This window comes from Homo sapiens, chromosome 4 (genome assembly GCF_000001405.40).
Source record: "Homo sapiens chromosome 4, GRCh38.p14 Primary Assembly".
NCBI lineage: Eukaryota > Metazoa > Chordata > Mammalia > Primates > Hominidae > Homo > Homo sapiens.
The window spans coordinates 186,673,222-186,698,367 of NC_000004.12; the positions used below are offsets into that span (position 1 = coordinate 186,673,222).

General features: G+C 39.4%; 1 protein-coding gene across 4 annotated transcripts in view, besides 2 other annotated features; it reads right to left on the minus strand.

The window, feature by feature from the left end:
- The window catches only part of FAT1 (FAT atypical cadherin 1), a 138,903-nt gene that overhangs the window by 85,428 nt on the left and 28,329 nt on the right, over positions 1 to 25,146 (minus strand). The window lies entirely within an intron of this gene.
- Positions 14,610 to 15,230: an enhancer, noted in NCBI's record as "OCT4-NANOG-H3K27ac hESC enhancer chr4:187608985-187609605 (GRCh37/hg19 assembly coordinates)". NCBI's record gives its function as "activates a minimal SCP1, AML or CMV promoter by ChIP-STARR-seq in naive and primed H9 embryonic stem cells {active_cell/tissue: H9 hESC(naive and primed)}" and the evidence as "EXISTENCE:reporter gene assay evidence [ECO:0000049][PMID:30033119]".
- Positions 16,462 to 16,961: an enhancer, noted in NCBI's record as "H3K27ac hESC enhancer chr4:187610837-187611336 (GRCh37/hg19 assembly coordinates)". NCBI's record gives its function as "activates a minimal SCP1, AML or CMV promoter by ChIP-STARR-seq in naive H9 embryonic stem cells {active_cell/tissue: H9 hESC(naive)}" and the evidence as "EXISTENCE:reporter gene assay evidence [ECO:0000049][PMID:30033119]".

Genomic DNA, 25,146 nt, shown 5'->3' on the forward strand with positions numbered 1-25,146 from the left:
TTAATCTGTAAATTTCTGTAACCATGGATTTAAAAATCTATATTTAAAATGTATACAATAAAAGTCAATTAAAACAATACCTGCAGCCCAGTATCAGAAGGTTTTATGTACAGAACCTCCCTGTTTTATTTTTCTGTCTATGTCTTAGATGTACTTTCATTTTTAAGTATTTCTGTTTCATTTGAGTAGATATATGACAATGGATATTCTGGCAGCTTCGATAACTAACACTGAAGTATTTATGTAGGTAACTACTTACACAAAGCTTTAGGTCTAGGAAATTCTATAATCACATTGCCCAGAATGAGATCATAAGTCAATGACAAAAGGAAAAGCAAAAACACAACTGTCACTGTTTGCATTATTTAGATTGCCTATTTAAATCATTTTAATTAAAACATATACCTATCAATTCTTTTAATTAAAATTGCTGCAATAACTTCAAAATTAGCTGAGGAAGCTTTCTGACTTGCAAACTTACTAAAACGTAGTATTAATTAAGTACATAATCAGATTTTAAGCATCATGTTTCAAGCCCAGGGATTTCTTTAGCTCTGCAAAGAGTCATTCCCAGGGTAAGCTCTGCTAAACCATGTTGTCCCGCTTTGTTGAGGAATGATTCCAAGTTCTGACTTCCCTGTCAGAATCACTGATATTGTCAATGACGGCTTTTGTGGATAAGCTCTACTGTTAAAGAGGATCACCCTTGGGTATCAAAACTTATCATCTGGACACCTGTTAATTGGATAAAACTACATCCACAAGACAGCCTTCAGAAGCATTAAGATACAGAGAATATATTTTACCTACCAATGGCAATGCTTCTGGAAGTTTGTTTCAAATTTCAGAAGATACGCAATTTCAGTGTTGATTACTCTTCTCCCCTTATACGGACTGGATGCAGACTTAGTAAAAGCTTTAATATGCCATATTGTTTAATCTTCACAATTAGCCCAGTGGTCTCTCCCCATTTTCCATATTCAGAAGCAGAGGCTTAAGGCTCAAAAGTCACTGGTCTGAAGTTATTTACTCCGTAATAAAGTAACCAATGAATTAATGGATTACCTTACCAGTTAGTCATCTTAGAGCTTTACATCTAACAACTTAGCCTGAAAAGTTAAGGAAGTCATCCTCAGTTATCCAACTTTGGTAGCAGAGAAGCCAGAACCCCAAACCTGGCTGACTGGCTCCAGAGTCCACACATAAAACCAGAGGGTACTATCTCCATGAGATGCAGAGTTGTGATTCAACAGCCAGGTCTGACTCTCATCAATCAATCACTGTTAGTGGAAAAACAGGCAACACATCCACCAAGGTGGACCAGCACTTGCCTGTGGTGGGAGGAGCGATGGAACTTAAGTTATAACAACTAAAGGAAGGCCAAACAGATCCCTGTATAGAGTTCAAGAACTCCGTGTGACCAGGCCCATTTAGGATAAAAAAGAAAAAAGGATATTAAAAAAAATCCAACACTGCTCTCTATTTAGGAAGTTACTGTGTTTATCATATCTTCTTTATGTATTAAAAGGCGGCCAGGTACAGTGGTTCACACCTGTAATCCCAACACTTTGGAAGGCTGAGGTGGGTGGATCACTTGAGCCCAAGAGTTCGAGTACAGCCTGGACAACATGGCGAAACCTCGTCTTTACAAAAAATACAAAAATTAGCCAAGCATGGTGGCAGGCACCTGTAGTCCCAGCTACTTGGGTGCCTGAGGCAGGGGCATCGCTTGAGCCTGGTAGGTCAAGGTTGCAGTGAGCCGAGATCATGCTGCTGTACTCAAGCCTGGGCAACAGAGTGAGACCTTGTCTCAAAAACAAAAACAAAAACAAAAAACCTGCATAGGCTAAATTAACTGAAATATACTAGGTGTAAGTAGGTATATGGCATTATACTAACAATACTGAATCTAACTACGAGAATATTATAACTGAGTCTTGAATACTGTTATTAACTATAAAAAAACTAGAGTGGTGGGTGGCAGATGTAGAGCTCTGAAGTGTAAATCAGCTGTAAAAGTTTTGTGGCAGATCAACAGAAACGTTTTAAGGAAAAACCCTCTTTAGGAAAGAAATCTCATTAAGAAAAAAAAAAAACTAGCCTCAGCATGGTGGTGTGCCCTGTAGTACCAGTTACTCAGGAGGCTGAGGCAGGAGAATCGCTTGAACCCAGGAGGCGGAGGTTGCAGTGAGTTGAGATTGCGCCACCGCACTCCATCCTGGGCAATAAATAAAAAGAAAAAAAGAAAGAAAAACCAGCCAGATGTAGTGGCTCATGCCTGTAATTTCTCCACTTTGCACTCTGGGAGGCTGACGTGGGAGGATTACTTGAGCCCAGGAGTTCTAGACCAGGCTGGGCAACATGGCAAAACCCTGTCTCTACTAAAAATACAAAAAATTTGCCAAGCATGGTGGCACACACCTGTAGCTCCAGGCTGAGGTGGGAGGATCACAGAGGCTGCAGTGAACCATGACCACACCACTGCATTCCAGCCCAGGTGACAGAGTGAGACCCTGTCTAAAACACACACACACCCACACATACACACGACCCTGTCTAAAACACACACACACACACACACACACACACACACACACACACACAATTAATTTTTAAAAGCTGTACCTTATTTTTCAACAAGGGACTTAATGTTGTTTGTACTGGCTTGGATCTTAATCTGGAACCTGGCTTTATTGATTTACACCTGTTTTAATTCATTCAACACAGAATGAGTTCCTACCACATGCCAGGTATGCTACAAGGTGCAAAAGAAACAAAAAGAAGAGCAAAATGAGGTCCTATGAGAAGACAGTTAAATAAAAGAGTAACTTATTCCTTGGACCAGCAGAGAGAGAGGAAAAGAAGGGCACCTGTTTGAGAAGGGAAACAGCATTTTAACAACTAGGTACTTTAATAATTATTTTCCATTTATTGTATAAGTATCTTTTACACAAAGACCAAACAAATCCTTTCTTCAGTTATGAGTTCCTGCTTGAATTTTATAATGCAACATGTAATAAAGTGATTTTAAAAAAATAAATGTCAATTCATTTTGTGAAAAAAAAAAACAAAAAAAAACAGGGAGAAGAGGATATGCAAGAAAAATGGCGAGTTATACGGATGAGTTAATTTTATCTTCTTCCTGTTAATATTTTCTAATGTTTCTAGAAGAAATATACATGTATTATATAAAAATATTTTTTAAACCAACGTGTATAAAGGGTTAATCTGAAGCATATAAGGAGAACTTAAGGAATTTCAGAAATGTAAAAGCAACCTTTAAAAGTTAAGAGTGACTTACAGGTTTTCATAGGCTGAATAACAACTGCCTAAAGCTCTTGTACTGCAAAGTGTGTTCCAGCAAGAAGACAAGGCACTATTCAATGATTAAAATGTCAGTTGAAATGACTAAGCCTCATGCCAAACTCCTTAAAGCACTCCCTTGCTAAAGAAGGAATGGAATGAGATTCCTCCTGTTACAGTCAAGCACTACATTGGTCTCTGTATAAACAGAACTCTCTCCAAAGAGACAGTTGTCTCTGGAGTCCTAGAATGCACACAGCTGGTGGAAGGGCCAGTTTTCCTGTTTCTAAGGTTTGTTTAGGCACCTGTAAACAGATTATAAATACAGAAAACCGCAACTATTGCTCTCAAAATAAACCCTAAGAATCATATGCAATTCAGTTCTACAAAAAGGAAGGTGTGTTTTACATGAACTGAATGCTGACTGAAGCAAATAAAAGTCCCATTGACTTTTTGGTCCCTGTGGTCATGGACTGTATGTATAAGCTGCCCCCCTGCCCATCCATTCCCAAGTAGCATTTTCCTTTACTCCAGCCTCCACTTTTATCAAATTTTTAGAAACTTCTTTTTCTATTAAATTTTATTTCAATTACAAAGCAGTTCTTAAATTTTAATTCAAATCTTTAAACTTTAAAAATTGCAAACTGAAGACGAACTACTTACAAGCAGTGTTCAGCTACTTCTAATACCCAATTTGTTGCCAAAACCAATACCTGTAAGAACTCAGAAGCTTAAGTTAGGTCAAGCTAACCTAATCAGGAAGTGATTCACGGACACTGATAACCTAGGAGAAACTTCAGATATGTCCTTTTATGCTAACGCTTCATATTAAATCAAACAGCCCTATCTAATAATCTAAATGCACTGCAAGATTTGATGTTAAACCTGGCTAAGAATCTTCGTTAAGGCAAAACATCAATTTGTAAATGCATATTAATCCCATAACTCCCGTTTTCTAAATTCAGGGTTTTTTTTTTTAATGAAGAACGGTGTATCATATAACGGAAGATTTCTAATTTTATATATGTTTTGAAATCACAAAAGAGGGCACACCTGTATGTATCAGGATTCTAAAATTGAGAGGTAAGCAATCAAAACTCAACAAACCTCCTACAATACCCAGTATATGCTCAGAAACTGAACAATCTTAACCAAGATTTCTTAGTGGTAACTGTGGGGCAGACAAATGAAGTATTTAATATGCACTATTTTATGCAAACAGGAAACAAATCTCATAAAGTACTTTGAAAGAGAATTAAAACAGGAGGAAAACGGATTACTGCTAATTCATCACTTTAGAGACTATGAAGACAAATCTTGCTGGAGACATTAAAAGACTATATAAGAATAGATTGGCAAGTCTCAAATAACTGTCATGTATCTACATTACTAAAAATTAAAGCACAGAACTGAAACAAGAAAAAATGAAAAATAGAGAATAACTGCAGTAGTTCTTATATTATCTCTGTCCTTAACTTTCTCTGAGAGCAAAGTTGTTCATTAAGAGAGCTGTTCTTTAACAAAGTAATAATAAACATTTCATTTTAAAGTGACATTTTCTTCTTTAATACTAACCATTAATAAAATAAAGTGATAACAGAAGATGTAGAATATGAAAATAAACATCACAGGGATATCAAGCAGTTGATGGTATTTGAAAAGCATATATTCAAACTAACCACTAGAAAAAACAAATTCAAAAACACACAAGTGTTCATTATAACACACTAGTTGTAATTAAGTAGCAGGGTGGTTACTAAAATATACGTATCGGAGAAGATAAAAATATAAATAAATAGCTAGGCGCAGTGGCTCATGCTGGTAATCCCAGCACTTTGTAAGGCCAATCTAGTAGGATCCTTGAGCCCAGGAGGTGGAGGCCAGCCTGGCCTACTGTATTAATTTATTATAATATAATAATAAATAAATATTTATTATTGTAAATTAATGTAATAGAACATTATACAATGTCATTATAGACAAATATATTCTATTATCACTTTATTTTATACATGTATAGCTATGTAAATATATTACATATATTGTCATTAATATCAATTATTGTATATTATTGATATTATGTATTATATATGTTATTAATATATTATTACTTTTATATACATATTACATACATAAATATATATACATAGGCCTGCATATAAGAAATTACAGGGGAATGGCAAGGCTGCGGAGAAACAGGAACGCTTTTACACTGTTGAAGGGAATGTAAATTAGTTCAACCATTGGGAAAGACAGTGTGGCGATTCCTTAAGGATCTAGAACCAGAAATACAATTTGACCCAGCAATCCCATTACTTGGTATATACCCAAAGGAATATTAATTATTCTACTATAAAGACACATGCACATATATGTTTACTGCAGCACTATTTACAATAGCAAAGACATGGAACCAATTCAAATGCCCATCAGTGATAGACTAGATAAAGAAAATGTGGTACACATACTCGATGGAATACTGGGCAGTCACAAAAAGGAATTACATGTGCCCTGTAATTTCTTCAGTGATTGGAACAGTAAAAGTACCTTTTGTTTAAAAAAATATTTAGGCTGGGCTGGGCACGGTGGCTCACGCCTGTAATCCCAGCACTATGGGAGGCCGAGGCGGGTGGATCACGAGGTCAGGAGATCGAGACCATCCTGGCAAACACAGAAATACAAAAACACTAAAAATACAAAAAAACACTAACACTAAACAAATAACACTAAAAATACAAAAAAATTACCCGGGCGTGGTGGCGGGAGCCTGTAGTCCCAGCTACTCGGGAGGCTGAGGCAGGAGAATGGCGTGAACCTGGGAGGCGGAGCTTGCAGTGAGCTGAGATCGCACCACTGCACTCCAGCCTGGGTGACAGAGTGAGACTCTGTCTCAAAAAAAAAAAAAAAAAAAAAAAAAAATGGGGGTTGGGGGAACCCCACACATCTGGTGTCAGAAGCATGTTCTGAGAGTCTAATTCAGGAAACTGAGTTTGTTTTCTATCCATAAGCAGGAAGTATCTCACATCTTATTTAGAAAACTGTCTGCTTTTTCCAAAACCTAAATACAAATTCAACATGGGAAAAAAAAAAACATAGCATAGTACTTACAACACTGTTGCCATTCCTAAAGCTCAAATATTTCCAGCTCATGACAGTATCAGATATATGGGTTCAAAAGGAAAAGCATGTTATCAAGTCTACAGTTTAGAAGATGATTTTTGAAAAATGACTTTGTGCTAAACTCTTGGATTGAGATTGCCTTTTCATTCAGCAATTTATGAAAGAGGTGGTGAAGCAATCGTATATTTTTTCCCACTTATTTTACTACATTGGTTGGTTTGCTGTAGCAGGCTATTTGTTAAAATCTGAAACTCAAGAATTTTTTATAACGTGCCATCTAAAGAACTACTTCATAATTTTATAAATTCTCAATCAACCATAATTCACAGGCCCAGTAAACTAACCTGTTTACTGCTAACTGTACCCATTAATAGAAGACCATGAGTGTCTTCCAATGCTTTCATTACCTAATTGGAACAGGGAAATATCCCAAATATCCCAACACGACTGCAAATTTAAAGCCTCGATTAATTTAACCTAATACTGAAGACATTTGACAGATGCTCCCTTGATAAGCCTATTTTGAAATAATGCTGGCATATCCCTGGCTTTAATTATTGTCCTTAAAAAAGAAATACAACTCAACAGACTAACACAATCTGTTCAAAAGAGACACGCAAAGGGGTACCAGTGTTGAGAAGCAAAGGCTAAGCCATCCTATTATGTTCTTCAATAAGATAAAACTAACAAATTCCAGTAATATAGCATATAACACAAACATGAAATCTGACTATGACTGAGTTTATCATTGTTGGTGACACCACTGTGAAAACACTGAATAGGCTTTAATTACACACGACCGTTTCTGTAACATTTCTCTCTTCAGGCACCACTCCTCCCCTGCCCCTCTGGAAGGGAAGAAAAACACTCCCAAATACCTTTACAAAGGCACATGTGGTGGGCAGCCGACCTCTTACATGAACACTACCTCATAAAGCTCCAAGACCACCGTAAGTTCTAAAGCATGGTGTTTGGTTATCTTAAATAATCAAACCAACGAATCAGCAAAGAACAAGAGTTAAAAGAGAGCAGTAAAGATCATCTAGTGCAACCCTCTAATTTTACAGACAAGGAAGTCCAGGGAATAAATGACTTCACAAGTTACTAGGTTGCAGAGCTTGAATCAAAGCCATAACTGGAACCCAAATCTCTTGAAATCTCAGTCTACGTTCGAGAGTGGCACCTAGTAGAGAGGTGCACGCTTGCATTAACACAAATCTCATAAGACTGAAATCGGCTTTTCTGATTGGTGAGGGAAATGGCTCACATTAGGAAAAGCAAAAGTCAATGATACTATCTCAGAGTTAATGATCTGCCAACCAAACCCTAAGAAAGCTTAAAAAATAATCGGCCTTACCTTAACATGGTATCAGTGACTTTGACCTAGGCACACATCTCAATCACTGGTCAAGAGTATCACCGAATTATTTCGGAATTGGAGAGGGAAACAAGAGTGAATGTAGGTTTTATTCTCAGTCTGTTACTTCAAAGTATTGGCCTTATAATCAACCATCCTTACAGCATGCCTGTTAACTGTCCCAACTCAGCATTTTAATAAATGTGTGACTTTGGCAATTTATTATACCTCTCTATATTTACTATTTATATCAATATTTATTATTCCTCTTATTTAAAAGTGGGAGATATATGGGTTATAAGAATTACTATAAAAATAAAGGTATTTAATCTATTGAATCTATTTTGATGTTTGAGAAACTAAAGCAAAACCAAGATTTAAGAAGATTCTTAAAGAGGTATGACACCTTAATCCCTAACCTCTGTATTTCCAAGGATGCTATTATTCAAGACAGAAACTGGCTACTAACAGAAATCACACGATGATGGAAGCGGTGTTCGGAAGAGAACTTAGAATCACTTATTGTAGAGCCCAGGTGACATTCCTTATCAAGACAAGGGACCGGCATTAGCAGTGCTCTAAAGTGAAATACACACATACGTGCAGCACAGAAGAAAGTCAGAATCCACAGCAACGTTGTTCACTGAGACACATCGATGAGTTATTTCAACTGACAGCGTAAAGCATTTTTAACCTGAAACAGTATGCATCAATACCGCTGAAGTGGCAGTGAGGTCTGCCACAAACTTTCCCTCCAGCCCCAAATGAAGAGCTACTTTTATAAAACGTTTCAAAGTTTCATTTCAAACATGAAAGGACAATAAAAACCAGGAAAAGTCAAATTAGGAATTTCTGGGACACAGAAAGGAACATTAGTCCACCTTTGCCTCCATAACTATCTTTCCCCACTTATTTTCGTTACATTTTGTCACAACTACTTTCTCAGAACTGGTTACGGATCTATAAGTAAAGACTAACCAAGTTCAAAAGAAGTCATTGCTAGAAGATATCATGATTACCAAAATAAAAGTAAAGCATAATAGTTCGTGTTTAGTCACCAAATATATAAAATTATTAGTTGTCATATGGAGGCGATAAGGGACGTTGGATGATCTCCTTATCTAACAGCTGGGAAGAAAACCTAGGTTGCCACCCAGATTCAGGACTAGGAATCAGGCACCTCCTAAGATTTCTTTCAAAATATTATTACTTATCTTCTGAATTGCTAAAAGTTGTAAATGTTAGCCGGGCGCGGTGGCTCACGCCTGTAATCCTAGCACTTTGGGAGACTAAGGCGGGTGGATCACCTGAGGTCAGGAGTTCGAGAACAGCCTGGTCAACATGGGGAAACCCCATCTCTACTAAAAATACAAAAATTAGCCAGGTGTGCTGGCATGTGCCTGTAATCCCAGCTACTCGGGAGGCTGAGGCAGGAGGATTCCTTGAACTCGGGAGGTGGAGGTTGCAGTGAGCTAAGATCACACCACCGCACTCCAGCCTGAGTGAAAGAGCGAGACTCTGTCTCAAAAAAAAAAAAAAAAAAGAAAGTTGTAAATGTTTCTAACATGATGCGTATGCATGAAGACAGACTTTTTGAACTAAAAACATGCTTCTGAAAGAAAACAACTTTTAATGATTTGTTTTTAAAGTAGTTAAAACAGCAATCTTATTTCAAGGGTTTACATCCAAAAGAAAGTCTGTTAGCAAAGAGGACACTGGGTCTGGCAGGACATGGCCACTTAAAGAGGCAGCCCGGCAGATCAGAGGAGGATTTTCCTTCTTTTCTCCATGTCATCAGTGACTACAAACACCACTGAGGGCCCCAAGGGGGAACCAGGCAGAAAGCCTGGACTGGGATAAAACCTAGCGATGGGACTCCAGGACAGCAGGACAGTCAGCAGCAGGAAAAAGGAAGAGTGTGTGCCACAAAACGGAGTCCTCTCCTGTGGTAAGGCAGGGTCACTCCCGTGTAAGGGGCCCTGGACTGACTGCCCTGGTATTCCTACCATTCCCTTCAGCCACAGACCACAGCCTCATGTCCTGGCCACGCACCTACCTTAACTACCTCATCCCAGACCTTCCACCATACAAGCTTGTGTTTCAGGGCTATTATTCCCTCTGATTAAAAATTGTCTTCAAATAGTTGGCTCTTCGTTCTTGTCATTCAGGTGACCACTCCATCTAAGGAGGCCATGCACACCCTGCAAAAATCCTTAACACATGCCCTGTTTTCCTCCACAGCACCGCTCAGCTGAAACTGTGCGTTCTTTTCTCCTCATCTCTGTGTTGACTCGTGTCTCCTCTCTCCAGAAGAATAGCTCCAAGAAGGGCACAGCACCATCCACCTTGCAAACTGTGGAGTCCTGGGCTCCAAGAAGGGCACAGCACCGTCTACCTTGCAAACTGTGGAGTCCTGGGCACCTAGAGCAGGTTCTGGCATTCTAGAGGCGGTCAATAAACGTCAACTACCAGATGAATGAATGCATGGAAGGGCATTCACCCAAGCCTTCTTTCACCCTCTCAAATCTTGCCTCTGTGAAATTTTCCGAAAGTTTTGCTTTCAAAGGCCACTCGTGATTTCTCCAAAGCCTTTTTCCTTCCAGGACCTACAGCAGGACTTGCAGCTGCTGACCTGCGGCCCCTGGAGCAGGCACACTTGCCACTCTTCTCCCTCCCACTCTCATTTCCCCACAACCTCCTCCTAGGGTTCTAGACTAGTCCAATACACGACTTCTCCCTGTGGTCATGGACCCATCAAGGATCACCAGAATGGAGAGCTTCATTCTGCTCCCTCTGGAGTTATTATTAATCCTTTTGGGTATCAGAGATCCCTATGAAAAATGTAAAAGTGGTTAAATTCCCTCAGTGATCCTTCCAAAAAGATTCAGAGGGAATTTTTTTTTAATCACAAAACATTGCATGTAATAGTTAACAAAACTGAGTTTTTCAGCTGTTTTTCAATAGCTACAAAACAGTAAGATTGCTACTTCATTAAATCCACCGAGCCAACACACAGGCATTACATAATTCACTTATCCAAATAATTGAATAAGTAAATTAACAGTTTAAATAGAACTATAAACATATGCTTACCTACTGAATAAAATAAGCCAGGATTTTTCTTGTTTACTGTATTTAAGAATGTATTAAATCTGTAAGAAATTCTTCATTACATAGGAGTCTTAACTGCCAACTCAGGTCATTATGAACTATGGGTATTTGACAATATTAAACTACATTCTCTTGTTGTTTAATCGTCTCATCTAGACTGAATCTCCTCTCCAATTATAACTATATCCAATCCCAGATGAAGGTCTCACTGCACAGTTATAGGAGTGCTTCCGTGCTGGACCCTGGGAAGGGGATGCTTTAGAAGGGCCAGGACAGTATCTGCGAGGGGCTGAAGGTACTCTTGCAGATTTCCTGTCGGCTCTCGTAGGAGACGTAGGACCATGAACTGTGCTCCTCCCCGGGATGCACCTGCCTCCGCCCGAACACTGCCATGCACAGAAAATGGAACTGACGCTCGGCCCGTTTTCAACAGAATGAAACAGCTACCACATTTCTTTAGGACACTTTAAATAATTACCATGTATTTTCTAAAGCAACTAACATTCCTCTCACAAGTGAATGACTGGATGTTAATCACTAACTTGGGGGATAAGAGGGAAAAAAAAAAAAACCCAAACTCCCTTTACCCCACCAGTATTAACGCAGCACAGTGAAACACTTTCAGACACGTAATACAAACAGGGTAACAATTGTTTTAATTTAACAAATTTAAACAAAAACGGTCACCTCTGGATAGGGCGTAACATATTAAACAGAGGAGGCGTGGTTTTCATTTGCTACTCTGTTTAGTTTTGACTAACTGGAAATGCTCATCTCTTCTTATTTCGGCAACTCCTTTTATGCCACAACCAAGTCATGAATTCAGGAAGGAAGCAGGCAAGTCTGATTTGTGCATGAAACATTATCTAAAGGGAAGAAAGTCAGCCAGTGCCCTCGCTAATCCCTTGGGCAAGAAAGGTAAAGTATACAGCCACAGTCTCAAAGCCAGAGTGACACAGGAGTAACCAGGAGCGCACATTCCTGCCTTATCTGGCGTTACTTTGATTCACCTCACCTTTCTTTCATGACAGGAAGGGCACTCCAAGGGCATTACACTGAGATCAAACAAAGCATTCCAGAAAGGCAAAGGCTCTTCTCACAGGGAAAGGAAGAATAAGTCTTACATTTCATGAATGAATAAGCTGTAACGAAACATTTCTATATCCTTAAATAAAATGTCCAATAGCTGATAGGATACGGAACCGTAGAGAACGTTAAACCACCACCACAATAAGAGCAACTTAGCCAAACCCCTCTATTTTTCAGTAACACCATAAAATATATGAAGGTTAAAAATTCCTATCTCAAATGAAACATCTTCACTAAGATTTTCTAAAATTCACAGCAGAGTTTCTAACCAGCATATGTGGCCTGGGGTTGCTTTAGTGTTTCTGATTATATTCCTTAGGTAAGGATTACGCAGTCAGTATTTTTTGACTCTGGTTAACTTTTCCTTTGACTGCATCTCAGAGGTTCCTTTAACTTTTCAAAGCACTTAACCAGTGGTTATTTTCAACCTGCATAATGCTTTCTACATATGGTATTCTACAATTAAAACATAACTCTGATTTCTATAAAACCAACATACATTTGGTTACTGTAAAAGACAGTCAAGACATCTGTAAGAGACTCGTATTCCCTTCAACTGAGGTGAGCATTGCTCTCTCTACTAAAAAAGAGAATACTGGCAGGTCCTGAGCTTTGCTCTATCTGGTAGGTTGCATTTGTAGATGAGTCCGTCTCTAAGCAGCCAGCAAGCTGTAAGCACACCGGTTGTGAGAATCTGTATAAGGAAATCTACTTCCCTCAGTTAAACTCTCTACACCAAAGTAAATTCATCAACCTCAGATTCCTACTCTAAATTCTTGGACTCTGACTCACTTATGACAATCCTGGAAGCTGGAACTCAAATATCTATGGGCAGTCAGCAAATAAAGGCCTGAAGAGCTGTAATCAACCAACTGTTCCATTAAAACAGACAACTACTGTCTGGTTTAGAAAAATAATGGATTTCTTACTTCCAGATGATTAAAGATGCATTCATTTGGTACTGCTGCCTTTAGAAGAGTTCCCCATGGTGCAGGAAGGCAGAAAGTTTGTGCACCATAATTATTTGAGAATTTTCACCCCCCCCCGACATTCTGAAGAAAACATGTAGCGATTTTTTTCCTGCATTCTTCCTCCACATTCATCATTTTATTGGTAAATCAGACTCTATATTGCAGTTTTTATGAGATACCAGAATTATGTAAGTATGCAACACTAAGCTAATGAAGAATAAAATATGTGTCAATTTTTGAATGAGTGTTCTTTTTTCCAAGGGCTCAATGAAAGCATCTTGGCATAATTAAATCAATATAGTAATCTCAACATCTGGGCCTGCTCTGTTGAAATGCAACCCTCTGCCTCAATACAAATCTCATTTTAATATTTAATTATTGAATCTATTGCCTAAAGTCAGCAACTTTAAACTGGTTTGCTTAGCGCTGTTTTTTTTAAGCTGTTCTTTTCCCAACTGCATTGTGAACAGAACCCTGTGCCTTTTATCCGCCTCATACTCTTTTCCAAGTTCTTAACATGAATTAATAGCTGCCAAGGAACTGCTTATTGCCTAGTATCACATCCTTGATAATGTGTTCTCAGATGATCCCATGAAACAGTCTATCTGTTTGGATCCAATCACTACACTGCTGATTATACACTATGGACACAGGTGAGTGAATTAACTCATAGGGATACTTGGGAAGGAAAAGAGAACTTATATTCTTGATTTCAACAGCAAAATTACATTTTTAAATTTAATTTGACAAGCCTGATAGCAGCGAAAACGAAAAATTCAACTACTTCTGATTTTACGAAGTAGCATCTGGCCAATGAAATGAAGAGTGAAAGCATGTTTTACAGTCTGTCCATCCCTCATTAGCCTTTATCTGGCATACAAGAGACGCTTTTTAAACAATTAATTAATGTGAAGAAATAAGCCTCAATATGCACTGGGGACAAAGATCGAGAAAAGGTAAGTTAAATCAGAGAATATGATCCCAAAAAGTTGGGTTATAAAAATCAGAATTTTTAAACACACAACCAGAACCACAGCCACAAAACTAACAACCACTGTTTCAATTATGATAGTTCCCTGACTGAATTAGTATTTTCCACTCATAAATCTGCCATCATTTTGATTTCTGTTTCTAAATCCAAATATTCAGTGGCAGCAAGAATGCAGAGAAATGGGCACTCACAAACTGCTGATGGGATGTCTAGTTCTCATAAAAACAAACAAACAAAAAAAAAGAACAGCTTTTAAAAATTTCATTACCTTTCACCCAGCAATTTCACTTCCTGTTATTTACGCTAAGGCAACAGAGATACACACAAACAAGGAACTTACATATTCAAAAATTGAGTATTACTATACAAACAGGATGAGTGTCCCAAATCAAAAAATCTGAAATGCTGCAAAATCTGAAACTTTGGAGCACCAACATGGTGCGCTGGGCATTGTGGATTTCAGATTTCTGGATGTGGGATGTCAACTGGTATAATGCGTATATCTCAAAATCCAAATAAATCCAAAACACTTCTAGTCCCAAGTATTTCAGATAAAGATGCTCAACTTCTATTAGTCTGTCTCTGTGCTGGCACTCTATATTCTAAAAATCACATTCTTTAAGAATACCTACCAACCAGAAAATGTTCTGGATATAGCAGAAGGCAGTCAACAAAACTACACGTTCAGTAAATGTTTTCTGTTCATCATTTTTACAAATCCCGCACCTGGCACTGGAAAGGCATCTTTGTGCAGGTACATATGAGTTAGGGGAAAAGTTCACCAGGGTTCTAGGTAGTAAAATTTTAGTCATGTTTTCTCCTTTCCAGTAGTTTACATTTTCCCAGGCTTCTACAATGACTATATACTGCCTTTTTATTGGAAATAAAGATCATTTTTTTAATGAGGGGAGTTCGCTAATTCTGTCCAAATGCTATGGAGACTCAAAGCTGAAAAAAAAAAAAAAAAAAAGCCAACACTATGTAATCATTTCCAAATTCCCTTTTCATGACCTTAAATGGGACTTCTAAAGCTAAGCAGATGCCCCAGCAGGAAATAAATTTGCAACTCAACAGAGGCACCCACAGAGATATGGCAAGATGCACCTTCGGTGGCTTTGGCAATAATTTCCTTTCATTATGTGTGAAGGAATCTTCACTCTCCAGTGCTTCTCAAGTCAAAGAGAAGCCTGTAGAAGTTAATAGGTCCTTAATATGTATCTGCTCCCTGAACTGATTCCTGTTCATAAGGTAATCGCGGACCCCATGTGGTCCTTTCACAGGGGCTTCGGCAAATCCCCTGCAGTGAGATGGCCCCTGGGCAGCTCTGTTTTCTGCAGACCAGGCTGTGACCTAATCAATAGGGTTCCAAGCAAGACAATCCCTACATTCAACAGCTCGGAAGAAATGAAGGGGGACGCAATTCAAGCTTTATTGACGAATTCCATTTACCTGTCACAATGATGGTTCACCCAGCAAGAGTACCCCCCCCGCCCCCCCCCAAAAAAACACACACCCTTCAGCTGCTACAGTAGACTTTCCAGCCAGCAGCCGGCACAAAATAAACATATTTACTTAAGCTTCAGTCACAACTCTTGACGTGAAACTGATGAAGCCCAAATGAAACAGGTGTATCTGTGAGATACAAAGGCAGCAGCCACAATGTGGCAGGGTAGGTTTTCATAACCTGTATTCGTTTAAACCCAAGGACACAAAAAGTACCGCAATAAATATAAAGCAGAAAATCACCCCAGCATGCAGATCCCAAAATTTACATGGAAAATTCCATAAACCTGAAAATGACCTTTTTAACTCTGAAAAGAATAAACAGGCCATTGAAACAACAGAAAGGTCAAGTTTACAGAAAGCAACTACTTTTCAAAAAGAAGTGTGAAAAGCATGGGTTTTGAATTAATTATACATGTTAGCAATTGTGGAAGCCCACAGAAACTTTACAGTTAATGAATAAAGATTTCACTTCACTTGGAAATGATGGACCTGGTCTAAATAAATCTTTTGGAAAATCACTCTGTAAAAATATCACTTTAAGATGTCATATACTTTCACATAAAGAAGATTTGTATCTTGTACGTCAAATCAAATTAGAATTATGCTACAAATCCAAATTATGCCCCCCAAAAAGCTATTTAAATGAGGGAACTTCAATAACAAATGTTTATCCTCAAAAAGACACATGATTTACTCGGAATTTTACAAAAGCTATCACTGGACATTTTTTTTCTTTTTGCATTCACATCCAATGACCCATCATGGACAATTTTTAATTGAAAACAAAGTCTGATTTTAAATTAACTTCTGGGCTGTTTTTCCACACTCATTAACCAAAGCGAGAGAGAGTCCAAGTCAAAAGACTCCAAAATGAGCTCACACACTCGCTTAACATCACAAGAATTGCTTCACTGTAATATTTTTAAAGCCATGCCAGGATCTAGGCCACCAGCCTCTTCAACAAATAAATTTTCAGCAACACCAGTGTAATAGGCTTTTAACATCCTCATTGAATGTCCTTAGCCCAGGGTATCTGGCACCCACCCACACCAGGCTAATTCAACAGGCAGAACTACTTAACTCTTCCACTTCCTTTCCCACAAGGGCATGCACACCCGCCACACGACTCGACTCCGCACACCACCTCACCTGGGCGATCAAGCCTTGCTTTGTTGGTGGTGATCTCTTAATATCCAGAGGAAAATTAACACACCATGTGACTCTTTAAAAAGACTACCGCACTCACAAGCCCATTAGAAGATCTCATACCTACTTTTTCCCATCACCCAAATGAAGGGAAAGAGTAACTTTCCTATCATTTTTTCTCAGGTTTTAGTAGCCCCTTCCTCAGTTACTATTCAATTACATTTTCCCTATCCCTATAGGATAGCTACAAATAAACAAAAAACATGTTACTGCATTGCGTTACAGAAAAGTGTAGTAGAATTCAAAGCTGTATTTCTCTAAAAAGAAACATTTTAAAAAGAAGAGCAAACACTTGAGACTACAGAGATAAATTATACTTGTTAGGCATGAAGCCGTTATCTCAAGTTTACTATTCATTAGAATGCTGGTAATCTTAGGACAGTTGAGGAAGTAAAAACAATCAGAAACAAAACCATTCCCACCAACCCCAAAAGATTCCAGCATAGGTAATTTGCAAAAAAATTATAACCAAAGTGAATGATCAGAGACGTAGCTCTAGGTCACTTATTTCGTGTACGTCATTCACAGAAGAAAATCTAATAGCCTGCACGGTGGCTCACGTCTGTAATCCCAGCACCTGGAGGCCGAGGCAGGCAGATCATCTGAGGTCCAGAGTTGGTGACCAGCCTAACCAACATGGTAAAACTCCGTCTCTAATAAAAATACAAAAATTTAGCTAGGTGTGGTGGCTCACACCTGTAATCCCAGCTACTTGGGAGACTGAGGTAGGAGAATCACTTGAACCCAGGAGTTGCAGTGAGCAGAGATCACGCTACTGCACTCCAGCCTGGGCGACAGAGTGAGACTCTGCCTCAAAAAAAAAAAATCTAGTAGCCCACTATCCAAATTTAAAGTCACAAATATCTTTAAGGCAGTTGAACTCTACATAAGTCTCTAAACTTGCATTTGAAATGGGGCTAGTCGAAACTGAAATTTGCTGTAAGGGTGGAATATACACTGATTTAAAGACTTCATAGGAAAAAATGAATGTTAAAGGTCTCATTAATACTTACGCTAATCACATGCTGTAATTGTACTTTTTGATATGTTGGACTAAATAAAATATATTATTAAAATTTCATCTGTTATATTCTTTTTTATTGTGGCTACTAAAATATATAAAATTACAAATAAAGACAGTACTATTGGGCAGTGCTGCTTTTGACCTGTTATACTAATTCATTTGATTTAAAAAATAACGAGTAACGGTAAAAAGTGGCAGAATTTGCACAATTTTGTTAATATAAATTGTAAAAATCAGTTCACCTTTCACATATGAGCACCTGTATCTAAAAACAGTAAACTTTGGAATATTTCTAATAAGTGGTTTCATGGTCTACTCTGGGACATGAATCACTGTTGTGTTTTGTTTTAGCTTATACAGAGTACACCGTGCTGATTAGGTGCCTCTAGTGCAGATTCATCTCTAACACCAAAAGAAACAATTTAAGACTTTTATTCTCTTCGCTAACATGATCTTCTATATACTATATCCAAGACTTACTGTTTATGAGAATATCACATTTTAAGTCACCATCTCTACATTAGGTTTCTAACAAAGTTTGTCAACTAACTTGTTACAGAATCTTCATTTCATTTCATGAGAAAATTTTTTGTTAGAAACAAGGCCACTGAGCCAGGCGTGACAGGCATGTTGGCTCACATCTGTAATGTCAGCGCTTTGGGAGGCCAAGGTAGTAGGATGGATCACTTGAGCTGAGGAGTTCGAGACCAGCCTGGGCAACATAGCAAGACCCCACCTCTGCAAAAAAAGTAAAAAAAATTAGCCGGGCATGGTGGCATATGCCTGTAGTCCCAGCTACTCAGGAGGCTGTGGTGGGAGGATTGCTTGAGCCCCGGAGTTCAAGGCTGCAGTAAGCCCTGATTGTGCCACTGTACTCCAGTCTGAGAAAGTGAGATCCCATCTCTAAATAAAAACAAAATAAAATATTAAAAAAAACAGAAACAAGACGATTCGTTCTGACATTTAATGATCACTGAACCTTTCTACAAGCAGTAAACAATAAACATGTATGCTTTACTGTGGCTACTATTTTTTTTTACCTATAATAATGATTATTTTTATGTGGTTCTTTTTCTAATCTCTTTGAGGAGAAGAATGGCAGCTGGGACTTACTACTTCTCTAAAAATCTCTGTTAAAGAAGGCCACAAGTTTGTTTTTCTTCCCCCCCATGTATATGTCAATGTGTTCAAAGACATCCACTCCCAAAATTTCCAAACAGAAATAATGTCAAAATGCTTAGTGAGTCAATACAGTTACACGTTTCTATTTCAAATCCTAAGATTTCTATTTCAACTTACCACAGAGCACTTTCCTATTAACTGTTGCACATACGTCCCGTAACAAACAACTCTAATATAAGCTAAAATTAGCAAAATACTAAGTGGTATTAAAATACATCTTAGGTTATTTATTTATTTATTTATTTTTTTGAGACGGAGTCTCGCTCTGTCGCCCAGGCTGGAGTGCAGTGGCGCAATCTCGGTTCACTGCAAGCTCCGCCTCCCGGGTTCACGCCATTCTCCTGCCTCAGCCTCCCGAGTAGCTGGGACTACAGGCGCCCGCCACCACGCCCGGCTAATTTTTTGTATTTTTAGTAGAGACGGGGTTTCACCGTGTTAGCCAGGATGGTCTCGATCTCCTGACCTCGTGATCCGCCCGCCTCGGCCTCCCAAAGTGCTGGGAATCTTAGGTTATTTTTAAAACTTTTCCATTTAAGCTGAAACTTAAGCAGAGATGTCAGAGGGCTGCATGAAACCTAAAGATACCAAATCAACACTCCTATATTCTCTCCTCATTTCGGTGTCTATTTCCACGCCCCCCAGTCTTCCATGGACTTCCAATTCCATTTCCCCAAGTATTCCATTCTCTACGGGACAGCAATAAATCAATGAGATAGTTTGTGACAAATTAATTAGCAGGAAGTGGTGCTAATGAGAAAAACGAACATCTGCAGGCCAAAGTCTATCGTGAAGAACCCCTTGCTGCCCTTTACCAGACACTCCATCTCTCCGCCTTTCACTTTAGAAACACGATAACTGGAATTCTCCAATTCCTTTGGGGGTAAGAAACTTCAGAGATCTTTGTGATAGAAAATGAAGTAGGAAGACGATGGAGGAGCATTGCTTTGGTATCTTCAGACTTCAAGCATCCCCCTGGTATCTCTGCTTACGTTCTAGTTTAAATGGAAATGTGCTAAAAATAACTTGAAGATATACTGTAATGCCATTACATGTTTGAACAGTATGACAAACTTAAAGTATCGTTATGTAAGACAGAAAAGTTTTAAGACCATATTGATATTTTCACAATTTTCACAAGCCTTTATATAGTAATGCACATTTAACATTCAGAAGGGATTCCCTCAAAGGGAAACGCAATCGGGTAAAAGTGCCTCTGGAAGTAGGAACATGAACACAGTACTCGGCAGCTCCTCTCAGCAAGGTTAGCCTACCTCCCTACCTGTGGCTGGATGAACGAACTGTGTCACAGCACGTGGGAGATGACAGTGGAGGAGTTCTGAGCCTTGGCCCAGCGGATTTGCTGCTTTCCTCGAGCACCCAGAACCCCGAGACCACCATGTAAACGGGTCCAGGACAGGCTGCGGGATGATCACAGACACAGGGCCTAGGAGCTGCTGCCTGCAGCGAACACCCAGCCACCTCCTGGGAGCAGGGCCCTCGAGCTCAACAGCAACTGATCAAACATGAGTCAGCCCGTGGAAAACAGCCAAGGAAACACCCAGCTGAGCCCAGCCCAAATCGCCCACCCACAGAACGGTGACCCAAATGAGTGGAGGCTGTTCTAAGCTATGAGGTTTTGGGATGGTTTGTTTCCCAACAAAAGGCTAAATGCCATTCTCTGTAATTTCCTTCACAATACTTAATATTGGCCCAAAGACAATAAAACGTTTCAGTTCAGCTCTGGATTTGCCTACACTTATTCCACTTGAGTTTCTCATGTATTTCATCTAACCTAACAGCCATCTCCACATTCCTCACAAGATTCAACCTCTCCCAGACTCAACCTGCCTCTCATCTAACCCAACCACCATCTCCCCACTCTTCACAACACTCAACCTCTCCCAAACTCAACCTGCCTCTCATCTACTAATCCAACCACCATCTTCCTATTTCTCACAAAACTCAACATCTCACAAGCTCGACCTGCCTCTCATCTAACCCATCCACCATCTTCCTATTTCTCACAACACTCAACCTCTCCCAGACTCAACCTGCCTCTCATCTACTAATCCAACCACCATCTTCCTATTTCTAACGAAACTCAACATCTCCCAAACTCAACCTGCCTCTCACCTAACCTAACCACCATCTCCCCATTTCTCATAACGCTCAACCTCTCTCAAATGCAACTTGCTATGAACAGATTTCTACTCAAATACACAGTGAACAACTTCCACAACGGTTTCCTTTCCTTCCTTTAATCATCCTAAAGAGTTACTTTTAAATAGAATAATGAAGTTAACTGAACTAGCTACTGATAATTTTCTATTTATATGAGTGGAAGGTTTAGAATCAGAGTTCCTAAGTAGCAAGAAGAGTTGACAAAGAACAAATGAGTTTTTAAAAAACTTTTACTTAGATGTAGTTACTAAAATAAGAAAACTACTTTTAGTTTACATACATATTATTTTTCTTAAAAGAGTCTGGTAACTAACTAAATTTCCCCCCATTATTCAACCACCCTTTAAAAGAAAGTGTTTGGTTTTAAGTAAATTGCACCTCTCCACAGAAGTAACCAAGACACTTAAAATACAAAACAGGCTGGGTACAGTGGTTCACACCAGTAATCCCAGCATTTCAGGAGGCTGAGGAAGGCAGATCACCTGAGGTCAGGAGTTCATGATCAGCTAGCCAACATGGTGAAACCCCGTCTCTACAAAAAATACAAAAATTAGCCAGGCATGATGGCGGGTGCCTGTAATCCCAGCTACTTGGGAGGCTGAAGCAGAAGAATCGCTTGAACCCAGGAGGCAGAGGTTGCAGGGAGCCAAGATCGTGCCACTGCACTCCAGCCTGGGCAACAGAGCGAGACTCCATCTCAAAACAAAAACAAAACAAAACAAAAATACAAAACAGCTTTTTCAAAGGATAGTTGGGTGAGCTCAATTTAATCCAGAAAACCAACAGTTTCAAAAATAATCTGTGAATCTCTAGAAGTAACTATTTTCTTAAGTTTTAAGAAATTCATCAATAATGATACTAACAAAAATAGATCCTACTAATCTGAACGTTTTTTAGAGTTCAAGTTTTTGCTGAATAATGTGCAATGGCAATGGATACTCATCTTTTATACTTAAAACAAAAGAAATACTTTTCAATCCAGAGGATGATACAGGCAATAGCACTACTCTACAGCCCAAGGACACAACACGTAACTCAGGTATATTCACCTGGAAGGCCAGCCTCAGAATCTAGATACTCAATCTCACAAAGGAGGCTGCTCCTAGGTAAGCAAAGCAGAAACAAAGAGGAACCCGCATTGCTACTAAACTGCTTTGTTGTTCTTATTCTTGTAATTTTGGAAGGTATGGGAGACAGGGTGTCTCAAGTGGAAGAGCAGCCTTAACTATATTAAAAAGGACAAATTTAAAAGGGCTTTCTCAACAATAGTTATTTAGATAAGCGTTTCCCTTTAGTATTTTGTTACAATCTATTTCCATTTTAAATTTTACGCATTCAACCAGTATTGGCTGGATGCCTAGATGCCAGTCAGTTCCTAAGTAAGTGATACAGACACGGACAGAGTCCAGTTTCAGCCTTATATTCTGGTGGAAGTCAAATGACAAAAGCAGATTTTTTAAACATGCTAAAATAATTTTTAATATGTATTATATATAAAACACACACACACACACACACACACACACACACACACACACACATTTTTGAGACGGAGTTTCACTCTTGTCCCCCAGGCTGAAGGGCAGTGGCACAATCTCGACTCACTGCAACCTCCAGCTCCCAGATTCAAGCAATTCTCCTGCCTCAGCCTCTGGAGCAGCTGAGACTACAGGTGTGCGCCACTAGGCCCAGCTAATTTTGTATTTTTAGTAGAGACAGGGTTTCACCATGTTGGCCAGGCTGATCTTGAACTCCTGACCTCAGATGATCCGCCCGCCTTCACCTCCCAAAGTGTTGGGATTACAGGCGGGAGCCACAGCGCCCGGCCATAGGCCCTAGAACACTTATTTTAAAAATTACTGACCTTAAACTCTAATCTTGATACTTTGTAGATATGAAACTTCGTGTGACTTCTTTCTGAAATCAACATTCTGCCAATTAAAACCACATATGGATATTACTCATGTTCATACTTTCCTAATCAGTTTCCATCTTCTAAATGAGCTTGCCACACTATTAAGAAAAAGCACTTCCTTTTAAAATTTTTTAGATCCTTAAAAAATAACTGATTTCCATTTTGTTGCCTCAACCAACAGACTAACTTGGTATTTACATGACAAACCCGCCTTTTTTCACTTAAATATGTAAACACCTTCAGCTGGGCAACAAATCGAAAGAAGAGGATCATGGGACAAACATGCACAGGATCTATGAAAAGATGAACACCCCCTGAGCAGGCAGCTACTCGGTACCAGCCCTGTGCCAAGCACTGTGATAAGAGGAACACGGACGTCTGAGACAGAGTAATGTCAAGCAGCCCTAAGAATAAAGAGGCAAGTAAAAAAATTAATAGAAAGCTAAAAGCAAACCAGGACCCACAAATGCATTTTGGAGAATCTTTTAACTAAGAACTTATGGCAGGGCTATTTTCCATAGAGGTCAAAGAACATACGGCAAGTCCATTTAAATAAAAATTCTGGACTGGGCACAGTGGCTCACGCCTGTAATTCCAACACTTTGGGAAGCCAAGGTGGGCAGATCACTTGAGATCAGGAGTTCGAGACCAGCCTGGCCAACACAGCAAAAACTCGTCTCTAGTAAAAACAGAAAAATTAGCTGGGTGTGGTGGTGCACACCTGTAATCCCAGCTACTTGGGAGGCTGAGGCAGGAGAATCACTTCAACTTGGAGGTGCAGGCTGCAGCAGGCAGAGATTGAGCCACTGCAACTCGACTCTGGCCTTGGCAACAAAGCAAGACTCTGTCTTAGAAAATAATTAATTAATTAATTAATTAATTCTGTCTGCCAAGGGAGCTAACTTTATCATTAGAGGCCTGAGTTTCCTGACAGATTGCCTTAATAAGTAAAGGAATACTAGTGGTGTGGCATTAAGGGTTTTCCATGGTGAGCTGGCAAAACTAAAGACCAAAGCCTGGCCTAGAAAGCTGCTTAACTTAAACGAGGTATCAATGACCCTTGGACAACACGAGTTTGAACTGCACAGGCCCATTTACACATGAACTCTTTTCAACTGAAGGCAAATCAAAAACACAGTACTCACAGCACGCGAAAGCGCAGCGTCTGTGGAGGGCCGGCTGCGGGACCTCAGAACGCACAGATGTGGGTGTGCGCGGACGGTCCAGAAACCGATCCCCATGCTCTCCGAGGGATGATGCACACTGTTCATTATATCTGTTTTATTTGTGCCGTATGCCTCAATGGGGAGACAGAACATCTGATGAAACAGGTGTATAAAGAACTACAGGTTCTTATTTCACTTGGAAACAGCCTTGAATGACGGTTTCTCCTAAATCATTTCAGGCACATGTACAAATATATAGAAAAGTGACCTGTCCATTGTTAAGGTTTATCTAGCTCATTTATAATTTTTATACAGGTTTTATTTCTCTATTACATTAAGCACCATATAATGTATGTAGAAATACTTGCAGGTTGTAAGGCATTATAAAAATGCTTGTCACTGTCACTGTCATCACTGCCATCATCATCATCACCATTATCCTTACCCGCTGGTCCTCCTTTATGAGAATTTGTGAGGACTGACAACCCTGGAACCTCCAGAACAGAGGATCTCAAAACCAGGATTCCAAGAAGACGGTCAGTGCATGAACACAGGTTCGGCACTTCACTGAGCCCCTTGGTATTGAATCAAATCACTGTCTCTCTGAAGAAAGAATATACAGCTTTCCACAGATTCTCAAAGTTTCTGTGACGCCAAAACCATCAAGAACCACAGTTTTGGAGCCTACAAATAGGCGTCCAGGGTGGCAGAAAAGAAGCTTCGCTCAACCTTCACAACTGCAATTACTGTGTGTTACAATCTATTTGCTCACAAAACAAATGAGGGCTACTTACTGCTCTATCAGCCACTGTGCTTAGAAGAGGGTAGACAGATGATTACGCTGGACTGTGTCCTTGAGTTCATGGAGACGGACTGAAGTCACAGACAGGCCGCGCACTGAGTCATACACTACAACAGAGGAACACACAGGAAGTGCCCCCGCAGCGAAGAGAAGCAAAGGCTACCTGGCTTGAAGGAAAGGTTTCCCCGGAGACCCCACGATGGCTTACCAGGCCAGCCTAAC